Source organism: Homo sapiens, chromosome 4 (assembly GCF_000001405.40).
Source record: "Homo sapiens chromosome 4, GRCh38.p14 Primary Assembly".
Classification (NCBI taxonomy): domain Eukaryota; kingdom Metazoa; phylum Chordata; class Mammalia; order Primates; family Hominidae; genus Homo; species Homo sapiens.
Genome location: NC_000004.12, coordinates 142,749,562 through 142,763,156, shown reverse-complemented (window position 1 = coordinate 142,763,156; position 13,595 = coordinate 142,749,562). Strand labels below are relative to the sequence as shown.

The 13,595-nt window shown below is 35.4% G+C and overlaps 1 protein-coding gene across 11 annotated transcripts in view; it reads left to right on the top strand.

Annotated features, from left to right (window-relative positions):
* INPP4B (inositol polyphosphate-4-phosphatase type II B) overlaps window positions 1–13,595 on the top strand; it is an 823,376-nt gene that overhangs the window by 83,379 nt on the left and 726,402 nt on the right. Inside the window, exon 2 of one of the 11 annotated variants that reach the window (XM_047416356.1) lies at window positions 9,025–9,143. The exons of the other annotated variants lie outside the window; for them this stretch is intronic. The gene's annotated coding sequence lies outside the window, so the exon portion shown is untranslated. The remainder of the gene's footprint in view (window positions 1–9,024; window positions 9,144–13,595) is intronic. 11 annotated transcript variants of the gene reach the window in all.

Below are 13,595 nucleotides of genomic sequence, written 5' to 3'. Positions count from 1 at the left end.
TAAAGGACTTCTCCAAGATGACAATTGTAGTCCATTCACGTGGCTATAACAGAATACCTTATGCTGGGTTATTTGTAAATAAAAGGAATTTATTTCTCACAGTTCTGGGACATCCAGGCTGAAGGCAGCAGTAGATTCGGTGTTTGGTGAGGATTGCTCTCGGCTTTCAAGATGGCGCCCTGTTGCTGTGTCCTCACATGATGGAAGGTGGGAGGGCAAAAAGAATGGACAGCTCCCTCACACCTCTTTTATAAGATCATTAATCCCATTTGTGAGGGCTCTACTCTCATGATGTAATCACCTCCTAAAAGCCCTACTTCTTAATGCTATCACATTGGCAATCAAGTTTCAACACTCAGACCATAGCAGTGACACAGTTAGCTGCTAAGATTTCATTCTTGTTCTGATATGGTTTCTTCCTGTTCACATATCCTCTTCAAATATATGGCACACACACCACACCACATATAGAATGCTTTCTACTGCAGTGATGATGGAAGATAACGTACTTGTTGCTTGTCTGTTAGAAAAGTGTACTGCAATGGGTTAGATCTAAACTAACAAGACAGGGAAATTCATGGACAAATTTGGTCTGGCTTGCTGAAAAATGCTTCTTGTAGGATTGCTTTACTGCTCAGCAATGTGCCATAAGCGAGCTTTATCCAGAGGCAGTGTCACTCAGGACAGCTATTTTTACTCTTGAGTAAGCTCACCTCACAGGATTATGGTGGCTCCCATAATTATACTGAAAATTTTTATCCCTAAGATGATCTGTCTTCCCAAAGTTTTTCTTCTGAACTTAGGAAAATCTGTGCATATGTATTTGTGTGTGTGTTTGGGTTGGGGGTGCAGTTAGAGAAGTGAGGTGGGTGTGGTGATGGCTTTCTATTTCTCCACTCTAGTATTAACCAGTGTTTCCATGAGCCCTGAAGGCTCTAAGATGCTTACAGAATTTGAGGGAGTTGCAGAATGAGAGCCAGGGCACTTAACACAGACATGTAGAGTGTGTAGAGTGCATCAAAATGAAGAAACGAGAAAAAGCCTGGTGTGTGGGCATTTGGCATAACATGACAGACAACTCTCTGCCTGAGAAGATTAAGGTCAGTCAACTCCAAGCCATGGCCTCAAGTTATGCAACACATTTTTCTTTTACATCCAATTGTATCAGGGTTTCATATTGACTCTAGAAGATCAGAAATGATCATTTTTGGCTAGGAACCATAATCTGGCTAGTTCCCATACCTACACAGCTGGCCCTGCTGTATTTTGAGAGGTTTTAGGAATGGTTTATGCTCCACCTTGGCTAGAATTATGTTATCTTGTCTTAAGTGTCTGAATGTGACTGATTTGTATTTGAATATATAAAAAGTCTGGGCTGCCCCAATGTTCCCTTTTAACAGAGAATGCCTAATGTAATTTACTTAATGTGATATCTGACAAAAAGGGCTGGTGCAATCTTTCTATTTCTGTCAATGTGTAAAATAGAAACAAATATCACAAGTGCTTGGTCAACTTGACAATGACTTTCAATTGAATTTTTCTATTATAGGTTGGGCTTTAAAAATCTCTTACAACAATTATTACAATGGCATCCACTGTGAACACTCTTTTTATAAAATTCAAATTTAGTAGAAAAAATATGACTCAGTTATTTGGCAAATATTGGTGTGAATACTAAAATGAACACATTTCTCAATCTTGGCCACATACTGATGTATGTTTTTGTGTAGAAAGATTTTCATGGTACCAATTTAAAATAAATTATATGATGTAGTACATTTTCTCTATTCTCAAATGGGGAGATCAATATGGAAAAATGTCAAAAGGAACCTATGCACAAAACTTCAACACATTTTCCAACTTGCAGAAGGACTGAGGACTCCTGTTAGCATGACCGAGAGGGAAAGTGGAGAAGGCTGCAGAATACAATTAAAAATGCTCAATAAGGTGTGGATATTTTTTAGCAAAAAGCAAAAAAAAAAAAAATTGCTTATTTTATGACAATGTAGTTATATAAGCAAAATAATTAGGTCCATATTGTGTTCTTGGGAAGATAATGGATGCTACGTCCTGGGCCAGAGAAGCTTCTGTGTGAGTATGTGTTCATGTTGCAAGATTTGGGAGAATACAAATAAATAAGAAATAACAGAACACTGTGATGTGTACTATATTAGTGGGTGAGACCAGGTTGCTAGGTCTAGTGTTCATTTTGGGGAATACCTAACCCAGCTTTGGGAAGAACGTTCAGGGAAGAATTCTTGAAGGTAATAACTTGTCATCTAAAATGTAAAGAATGAGTACAATTTAGGCAAAGTAGAAGGGTTGAGAGTAGAGAGAAATAATTGCCAGTTATGTTCCTGGATGTGGTAGCACCATTGCTAGGCCAAAGGCAAAAGAGAAAGCATGGTTTGTTCAGGGAACACTTTTCTTCATAAAAAGTCCAATTTTCAGTGGTTTTATACAAAATTTAATATAAGAATAGGTAGAATCATTAAAATGATCAGATTCACTTTTTTTTCAATTAGCTGTTCTCATGTAACATGACTTTCCCAGTTTTTTGAGTCAGTAGTTGAAAGTATAAATTTTCAGCATAATTGATTGCTCTATAAGAGTATTGTGGCTCTTCAGCATAATTGATTTCATCTCTGGAATTGGTTTTGCAGGCTTTTACATGTGTTGCCACTAGCTTCAAGTATACAGCTGGTCATTTATGTAAATTGTCTATTTGAATAAAACAATAACCTTTTACGATAATTTATATCCTTTTGCTATGTTTTTCTACCAAGATCTCTGATTTTAGTTTCCTCTCTGAATCTCTTTTGTTAGTTAAAAGATGTTTTGTCCTCCCCATGTGTGACATGGCAGAGAAGCTATTAAAATGATATATTACTGTTCTTAAATATGATGGCATAAGAATAGCATTTTCCAGATTTATTTGTTCAGAAAATGTGTTCTCAAGTCCATGATACTATCTACTTAATGAGAAATGTAGGTTTCTGGATATTTGTGAACTTTGGCAGTTGTATATTTAGTGACTGCACTGACAGATCTTGGTTTGAGGTACTTGAGTTTGGCTTTAATTAACTGAGGCAAAATATCATAAAAAATGCCAACAAATAGAATTTCTGGTTTTCTTTCTGCAGAGAAGAAAATCAGAGGACTTTTCTTAAACTTATTTTTAAGTTTAGGAAAAAGCCCCCCTTTTCTCCTGCCCCTTGGAGAGCTGAATCAATAATTCGCATGTTCTTTTTTTGTTTCTTATTATCTAAGTATGTACCAGAATTGCTTCACAGGGCAATTAAATTTTTTTTTTTTTTTTTTTTTTTTTTTTAGAAAAAGCTCTATATAAGCTCTGGGGTAAGTTCTGGTTGAGAGGCAAATTACCTTTGTGATCTCGGACACATCACTTAACTTCTTTGTGGCATAGTATGTTTGCTCCATTCATTTATTGATTCAAAATGTATTGATTGTTTACCATGTGCCTGGTGTTATATTCAACTTTTCAGGGGGACTTAGGAGTGAATTTTAGAACTTAGTAGCAGAAATGAGACACATACAAAAATTGTTATTAGGCAACACATACACACACATGTAATTCATGCAAAGCAGAACATTTTAAGTACTACAAGAGACTTAATATAAGATGCAGTGAGACTTCTTGGGATAGGTAATTCATTTTGAGTTGATATCATCAAAGATTTGAAGAGGAAGGATTTGGACTAGTTCTCTAATAGAGTTTGGGTTCAGGAAGATGTGGAGAGAAGACGAAATTGTGTTAGAATTTGAAAGAACCATTTTAATGTAAGCCTTGTTGCCAGGAAACTTGGAACTTGGAAGGAAACTAAGGTTGAAAATTAAAGTTGGTGACAGATCATTGATCTTGAATACAAAACAGGGGTTTAGTGTTTATTTTGTAGAACTTCTCTGAGATGTCATTAAGGGTTTGGCTTTGTCAAGACATTGGTTCAAGTGCTTTCTCTTCTACATACTAGTTAAATGCTTTAAGTAAGTCAAACTAACTCTTGAGAAACTTGCTTTCCTCATCTATAAAATGATAATAGCCATCTCATCTTTCTAGGTTTCTGTAAGAATTAGTAATAGCATGCATAAAGAGACAGTCACATAGTAGTTGTTCACTTTGTATTAGCAGTTGTTATCTACACAGTGAAAGGCTTTTAACAAGTGATTTTTTTTTTTTTTTTTTGAGACTGAGTCTCACTCTGTCTCTCAGGCTGGAGTGCAGTGGCACATTCTCAGCTCCCTGCAACTTCCACCATCTGGGTTCAAGCGAGTCTCGTGCCGCAGCCTCCCGAGTAGCTGGAACTACAAGTGTACACTGCCACACCCGGCTAATGTTTGTGTTTTTAGAAGAGACGGGGTTTCACCATGTTAGCCATGCTGGTCTTGAACTCCTGACCTCAGGTGATCCACCTGCCTTGGCCTCCCAAAGCGCTGAGCTTACAGGTGTGAGACATTGTGCCCGGCCTTAACAAGTGAATTTCAAGGTTGCTTTCTTTGTCATGTTTCTGTGATCTCTATGTGATATATTTGCTCAGAATATCATAGAATTGCAGAGTCCAAGGGAACCTTAGAGGTTTTCTAGTCCACTCCCTGTTGAGGGCAAGTGTCCCTTTTACAACTTTCCTGATTTTATTCTATACTGTCATGGGCCTCTGGAGGAACTTACAATTATGACAGCATTCACTCTTTTCCAAAAAGAGTCCTTTTCATTGCTGAATATTTAATGGCTTGAAAAATTTTCTATCTATTGATCTGAGATTCTTTTGCCTGGTAATGTTCATACATTAATTCCCTAATTCTTTTATTTCAGAGATAACAAATGACAGCAACTCTTCACATGTCAAACCTTAACTATTCAACATAAATATGTTACTTTCTTTCATGAGTTCCCCCTATGTCCTTTCACTTCTAGACCAAATATCCTTGGTCTTTCATCTATTCATCCTATGCTATGATTGCAAGATTCTTCACTTTTATGGTTGGCTTCCTTCGGCTGCACTTCAATTTTTAAATATCTTTTTAAAAACTATTATCCCAGAACTAAATAATGTCCCACTGATGAGATCTATTCAGAGCTAAGTACAACAAATCTTGCTTAATCTAGAATCTAGACCAGTGTCACTGCCTGTTGCCTATGGAGTTTAAAAAATGCACAAAGCCAAGTCCAATCCAAAAATATTCTGATTCACTAGTTCTAGATTTGGGCCCAGATATTGTCATTTTAAAAAAGCACCACAGAAACAATAGGAACTTTCATTCATTGCTGGTGAAAATACAAAATAGTGAAAATGCTTTGGGAGACAGGGAGTTTGCTACAAAGCCAAATATATTCTTACCCTAAGATCCAGCAATCATGCTCCTTGGTATGCACCCAAATGAATTGAAAACCCTGCACGTGGATGTTTATATTCATAATTGCCCAAATTTGGAAGCAACCAAGGTGCCTTTCAGTAGGTGAGTGAATAAAGAAACTGTGGTAAATCCAGACAATGGAAAATTATTCAGTGCTAAGAAGAAATGAGCTATCAAGTTAGAAAAAGACACGGAGGAAGCTTAAATAAATATTACTAAGGGAAAGAAGCCAACATGAAAAGGTTATATGCTGTATGATTCCAACTACATGACATTCTGGAAAAGGCAAAACTATGGAGACAGTTAAAGGATTAGTGGTTGCCAAGAGTTTCAGGGAAGAAGGGATGAATAGGCAAAGAATCAGGATTTTTAGGGCAGTGAAGCTATTCTGTACAATATTGCAATGGTAGGTATATGTCATCACATATATGTCAAAACCCATAGAATGTACATCAAGAACAAACCCATAGTAAGCTATGGACTTTGAGTGATAATGATGTGTCATTGTAGATATCCATTGTAAAAAATATACCACTTTGATGTGGTTGGATAGAGAATGAGCTTGGACTGTTGATAATATCAGGGTTGTGTGTTGTAGAGGAAGGGGTATATGACAACTCTGTGTACTTTCCACTCAATTCTGCTGTGAACATAAAACTGCTCTAAAAATAAAATTTACTAATTAAAAGCTCTACACATAACTTTGATATCTATCTGGGGCTGGAAGCCATAGATCTAGACACTATACTCAATTAATGAAGGTAAGATACCATAATGTTTATTGATTGCAGCCATACAACACTATTCATTATGTACCAGATTTGGGAACGGTTAAAACCAGTAGGACTCCTTTTTAGATCTTTCCAAAATTTGTACACTACATTTTCTGGGACGTAAATCTATGACTTTACATTTATTCTTATTACATCTCATCCTGGCCATTTGTAGACATTATTCTATATTATCATTGTTGTTTTCAATTTCATGTGCCTAATTCAGGTTATCCTAAAAATTCATTAGTTCTGGATAGGCATTCCAGAATGATAAATTTTACAAAAGCTATTAATTCAGGTCTGTTCTTTATTTATCATACTCTTTTCTTATGATTATAATGTGTTGTCCTTACTCATCTATATTTGACATATCTATTAGTATGCCTAATACTTTGAATCACCTTTCCTTTCTAAGTTATAATAATCTATGCCCACAGAGTTTGGAGCTGATAGAGAATGAGCTTGGAATGCCGTAGAGTAAGAGGAGCCTCCAGTTTTATCAGTAAAGTTAGGCATCTTACAGCTGTTATCAAGGATCTTATAAGATGATATTGCTGTAGCTTAGTTGGGATGATTTTGGGTGCAAGTATTAGGATCTCAACTTAGAGTGTCTTAAATAATAAGAGGATTAATTGTCTTACCTAGCAAGAATCCCAGAGGTAAGGCAGTTTCAATTTTGTTAACGCCGCAGTTTTCTAATGTCATGAAAATCTTACTTTATTTTCATCTTTCTACTCTGCCATCTTCAGCAATTCCTTTCAGGCTAACTTCCTTCATGGTCCCAAAATGGCTGCTACAGTTTTATAACATGTAGACATGACAACATCGAGGAGCAAAAGAGGAGCTCTTTCCTCTTCATCTCTGTTTAGAATCTTTTCATCAGACTTCCTCTCTTGTCTCATTCATTCGCCTGCACTATATCATATACCCCAGAATAAAGCAACCACTAGCAAGAGGATCTGGACAAATTATGATTCCCCTCCAGGGTCGAGGGCTGGGACTGGATCTAGAGATAAGGCCATTGGAGTATTTGATACCTAGTAAAAACTGGGGTTTAATGAACAAGACCTAAACAAAATCGAGATTCTGTGAGCAATAACAAAGGTGTTTGTGGGGAACAATTTCTGGGTGAGAAACTACTAGTGTTTGTTATACTACTAAAGCTCAAAAACGTTTTCTATTTTTAAAGAGTATATATTGTAATTATGCTACTAAAAATGTTCTCCAAATAGAGATTCTGGCTTTTTTTAAAGACCAAGCAAACATTTTATAGGGCAAAGTTAACAGGATAAACTATTATACTGATCACATGTTATTTTATTTCTCTTTAAAGCAAATTAATTAAAGCCCATTTTAAAAAATAGTTTGTGCATGGCTCCAGATTAATTTTATATCTGTGATTGTTGGCTTTATGTAGAGTATTCCATCCTTGCTCAGAAGGGACCTTCAGCTCTCAGAAGTAAGGGCTTCTTTATTTTTTTTCTTTAGTCTGTCTTACAATAACTCTTTTTAAAAGGAATCAAAATTATAGCTTTGTGTTTGGAAGTAATGGAAAAATAGGACTAATTGAGACTGCTGACAGAGGAAAGCATCAGGGAGAGGAAATATAATTTTCAATGAGCTGGATAGTGAAGCACAAATTAAAAATTTGTTTGAAAAAGTTCATATGAAGTCAATGCAATATTATTTTTAATTGATTCTAGTGAAATCTAGGGTCCAGAAACAGATAATGATATAGACATAGAATATAGTCTGAGGAATTCATGCACTGTGAATCACTCAATGCCCTTCAGAAAGAAAACTCTAGGTGAATGAAAGTCAGTAACTATTACTTAATTTCAATGCTAACTTAAGAAAAGATTAACAGATTTATGAGGATAGATAGAATAGAAATGTGTGCCACCTATAGAAGAAAATGGGATCAGTCATCAGAATGAGAGTTCCCATTCACTGTGATTGAAGTATGTGTGCAAGAGTCACCCACATTGTTTCATTTAATCCTTACAACCCTTTGAGGCAGGTGCAATATGAGGCAGGTCTAAATCATAAGAAATTAAGTAATTTGATGTGCCATACAAATGCAACATATTTTTAGTCCATGTTTTTCTGCACACATGTCAGTCTATTGCTGGGCCTGCTAGCTCCTCTCAATTCTAATGTGAATACACAAAAAGCCTATGGATCAGAGTTTAGCTATAGAAGAATCATTAAGCAATTTTATCTGACGCCTATTCTCAATACCTCATCATATTTAATAAATTCACTAAATCAGGAATGAGTTTCCAATCAAATTCACTAAAAAAAACACATTTTGAGACTGAATCTGTTCATGTTACTGATATGCATATAGTTTTAAGGTTGGCAAATAGTACAAGAACCCCCATACCCTGAGATAATAACTTTGAATTTTTAAAAAAATTTTTTGATTTGGGAAAGAATGCATTTTTCTAAGTAATGTAGACCTGTATTTAAAATGCTACTCCAAGAATTTTTAAAGACTGGATATGGCATAACTGTTAAAAAAGATACAACATGATAGTGAATATTGGCGTAGGCAGGGAGGAGATACAGAATGAAAGAAAAAGCAGGTATATACCACAACATGCATTAGGTTTATTCACATACAGACACATGATTTGGGTTCCAAGCAATTCTTTTTGTTGCTTGTCATTACTTGGGGTCACTGTTACTTCAGCCCAAATAAAAAGCTCACTAGTAAAAGATGTCCTGGAGAACAGCATGACTCATTTACTTGAGAAATTGAGTGCAAAAGAAACCCCGTAGCTAATAATATTTTGGAGTTATGTTTGAGAATCCATGGAATTATTAAAGGTATAAAAGGAAATTCTGAATGAAAAATTCACACTCATCATTCCAGATCAGCAAGTTTGGAAACAAGCACAATTGGCATCTACGGCATTAAATACAAACTTACTTGGAATTGCACCATTGTGATTCTGATTTTTCAGTTGCTGAAGGTGGAAATCAGTCACGAAGGTAATGCCTTCTAGGCTTTTCTTAAAAATTATTAGGAGCTGGATTGGGCGTTTGTGAAAAAAGGAAGGAAATGAAAGAAAGTAGAAGGAGAATTATACTTGAGATTTCAGGAAAGTGGTAAATGCTATCTTCAGAGTTTTAAAAATAAAATTACATGTAATAAGTATACTAGCTTTTTGTAGTAATTTGCACAAAAATGATATGCTATTGTTCTTAATATTTTCTTTGTCATAGTCATACTGATATAAAGCTCATCTTTTTTGTACATAGGAGGGAAAACAATTTATTTAAAATGTTTTATTTTCTCTTTGAGAAGCATATTCTACTATAGGTGAGATTTCAACAGTAAAATTAATCCTTAAAGTAAATTTATGGAAGCTTTTGGGTTATCTCTATTTGAAAAGACATATACTCCCAAGTGTCCCTAGATCGCAGTAAGCCTTAAATCTGGTCAAGAGCAAATGGAGAGAGGGGGGATCAATATGCACATTTGTTTTGAGAGATTCTCCTGGGCTGACCTGGTCTTTATCATACCAGCTGGATTGCTGATGTTGAAATGACAATCAGTACATCAACAACAAATCAATTTTGGCTTCACTATAAAGTAGGTTTAAGAGTATGAGTAATCCAACAATATCAAGCTAGCTACCAAGTAATATTGGATATATTTAAATATTGTGTGATAACGAGAATGAGAAAGACATACTATATTATTATTTTTGACCACTCCTCCATGTACATTTAGAAGTTTAACCTTGAAAAAAGTAAGCATTTGAAATAAAATTGTCACTTTATTAGAGCAAGATATAACTAATTGGTATAAGTCCAAATCTGGTTGGTGTAAGAACGGTCTTATAAAACTATTGTGTTGAGTATTTTTTAAACATTACATCTCAGTAAAATGCTTATTCTTACTAAAAAGTTCTGATTCTGTCAGAATAAAGGCTTTATCATGTGTCTTGAGGCTTGGAGCTCTCCTCTGCACAGAGCTGTTTCTGCCTAGGCAGGGTGTGCAAGAAATTATTTATACTCTTCTGAACCAGATCTATAGATCGTCACTCAATGCCTGGCTCAAAGAGATACTTAGGAAGTGCTTCCTGGGTCATTGAATTCTAGTAACTCTCTATTAATACATGCTGTTCCTTCCTTTGTTCATAGGAAAAAAGGAAAATTTGCTTTTCTTCAAAGACCTCTCAGGATGTACAGGAAAATGTGGCTGATAAAGAAGACACATCTGGTCTTCCTTTGTTGGGGAATTTATAGGAGGTAGTCTCAGCTGTCAGGCCGCTAGTAACTGATAATGTAAAATACGATGCTATGTGAAGAATTACAGAGGATCTGTAAGATTCCTGTACGACTCTTGCTGCCTGACAGCTGCATTCTGTAACTCTTCCAAGGACAAAAGAAGGACTCATTAAGTCCAGAATTTCCTCAGCTGGTTGCTTAAAATCAAACAGTAAAGCTGAGAAAGGACAAAGCTTCCCTCTTCTCCTCCAGCAACCAGCAGGGTGTTCACTTTTGACACATGAAAGACACATACTTTCAAGCCTTAGGGACAGAAGCTTGGGCGGAAATTCAGGTTGTGATTCTTGAGTCTAGAGAAGTTAGATCTGGAAAAGATCAGTAGTTGGGGAAACTGAAGACCCGTGTGGCAATTCAAACCGATCTTTAGGAGAGGATTGCCAGGACAGCTTCCTCCTGGATCAGAATTTTATTTCCTAGGCCCACATCCCCTTGCCTGTGAGGCACCTTTGGCCTCCTAAATCTCTGCTCTCCACAGGGAACAACTTAATTTTCTTTTTCAGCTGGATGTGATGTGATTCACTGATCTTCACCTTATGTGGCTAGCTTCCATTCTACAGCTCTAAAAAAAAGTCTACTTCCTTAAGTAGGTCTTAGAGGAAATTTCAACTTAGATGCCTCTAGGCTTACAGAGTTTGTGTTTTAGCTTTATATATTACAAGGCAGGCCCCTAGATAAAAATAAAATAGAATTATATGTTCCACAGATGTTAAGTGGTTTAAAATTTAAACCTTTTAAAAAAGTGGTTGTATACAAGATATGATATGCTTTGGGGAGGGTGAAATAAATTTCAGAAATACTTGGAAAAATACTAATTGTCTCTTTTGGACAGTGCATCAGGCCTTGGGGACAGTTTTGTAAGAGGTTGTCTCTTCTCTGTGTCTGAGTGATATGGTTTAATGATTGAAAAAATTATAGTGTCAAATGTGGAATAAGTGATAGAATCGTGTCTATCGCATCACTGTTCTCTGATGACTGACTGGTATGTTCCAGCTGACTTCAAGATAGTACTCTCTTTCATCATAGCTCCATATACTCCAGGCAGAAGCTATCTGCTTAGAAGACAGCCTTATTGAATAGAGCATGGCATATTAATAGAATCACAGAATCATGTGTCTTGAGGAGGCCATTAGGAAACATGAATTTAAAAAGCAGAGTGTTACTGCTTCTTGAAGATTTTCAGGGATGCATATTACATAGCTTTTTGGGGTAAAAGAGAGAGTGGAAACAAAGTATGTGTTAGGAGATGCTTTTATATCTTACAGAAAAATACATCTTGTTTGCCTGTTTAAACCCATTTTGTATTGCACAGTCCTCCACAGATGTATTACAAAAATCAGCTAATCAGCATCTGTCTCCTTAACACTCCCTCTCCATACTTGAGGTCAATTGTCGTCATCAGGCTTGTTTTTTTTTTTTTTTTTTTTTGACACAGTTAACTCCATTACTTTGGCTTTTTATGAAAACAAGGAAACAAAACTTTCTGTTTGCCCATTAATTCATTTATACTATTCTTAGAGCTCACTTTTATCATTTGACTAATGCCCCTACCTTCACATAGTTCTAACATGGAGCTTACATGGGCCCCTTTTTGTCATATTTCTTCTCAGTATTTCTCAACATCATGCTATTTTTACAGCTGTACTCAAAATTTGCTATTTGGCTACAGTGTACTTAGGTCTTTCTACAATAACTGTATTTAGTTCTTTTGCATACTGTATGAATTCCTAACTCTTCTACTTTTTGAGAATGTTCCTTATTAAGTTTTCTCATCTGATATTTTACATTTAGTCTACCTGTTTCTAGGTTATCCCATGTGTTTCACATTAAATGATCTAAAAAACAATAGTATTGGTCATAACCCTCCCCTCCTCAGGAATTGTTTAAATAGTGTTTAAATTCTATAACTTGGCATCCAAGACTGCTCATTATCTGACTTAAGAGTTAGTTACTCAGCATTCACTTCCAATCTGATTAGACCCATCTGCCAAGGGGCCCTTGTAATTGGACCCCTCAATCTTTCCTCTGTGTTTATGCTGCACCAGCACCACCTGCTCTCAGACCTCTTCCCATTACATCCAGGTGATCTGAAGCCCACCCAAGCTTTGTTCCCAGCTTATGTGCCACTTTCTTAGTGGAAACCTCTTCTATATATCTACATACATATCATGACAAACTATGAGTGAGAGTTACTGGTGGCCATAAACGCTAAGTTTAGTGAAAGAGACATCCTTCCTGACACTTGTCATTTAAAAAAAATCATACATTCCATCCACTTGGTAAATGATAGATTCTTTAATCATTCCTCTTTCATGGGGCAGTTTGGTCATTTTTTATTACTTTCAATTATAATGGTGCTGTACACATGATTACACCTGTGAAGTTTTTTCTGTATTTTTCAGTCTCTATATCATTAGTTCATCTGCTTTGTGATTTATCTGGAGAAATTTGGCCTTTGAACACTTACATATTCCCTAAATATTTTGTAGGAGCATTTTTTTTCCACATATGTATTGATATTCTATATATCAAAGTTTTATCTTTATTATATTACATTTTAGTGTGCAATTTTAAAATGTACTTAATCTATCTTGTGTCTAATGATTGTGCTTCATCTCTTGAAGAGTCAAGTTATTGTCTCATTTTCAGATGGGATGAAAAATACTTTTTTTATATTAAAATTGGTTTTAATTATTTGATGCTTTTGAAATGCATAGCCATGAGGTGGTGAATTATGAGTTTATAACATTTTTTCCACACTGACATCTTTACTAGTAGTAATTATTTTTCATCTATTATTGTGTGGCTCTGATTTGGGATTTATTAAAGTTTTATAATTGATTTATTTTCTTGACTATCTGTTCTCTTGTATTAATTTAATTTTCTATGTTGAATACTTATAGTTTCAGTAATTTTCACTTTGTAATGTAGGTTAACATCACATAAAATACATGTGTCACAGCCTTAATATTATTTTTATATAATCTTATCTGGGTTATTCTTCCAAAAGAATTGTATCAGCACTGTGTAATACTGTTGTTCTTGTAATCCTATTAATTTTTATCTTATACAGCAAGGTGGACACAACTTTAGAATTATTCACTGTTATATTTTAAGGTGAACTGGATCTTTTATTGAGTGGATACCTTT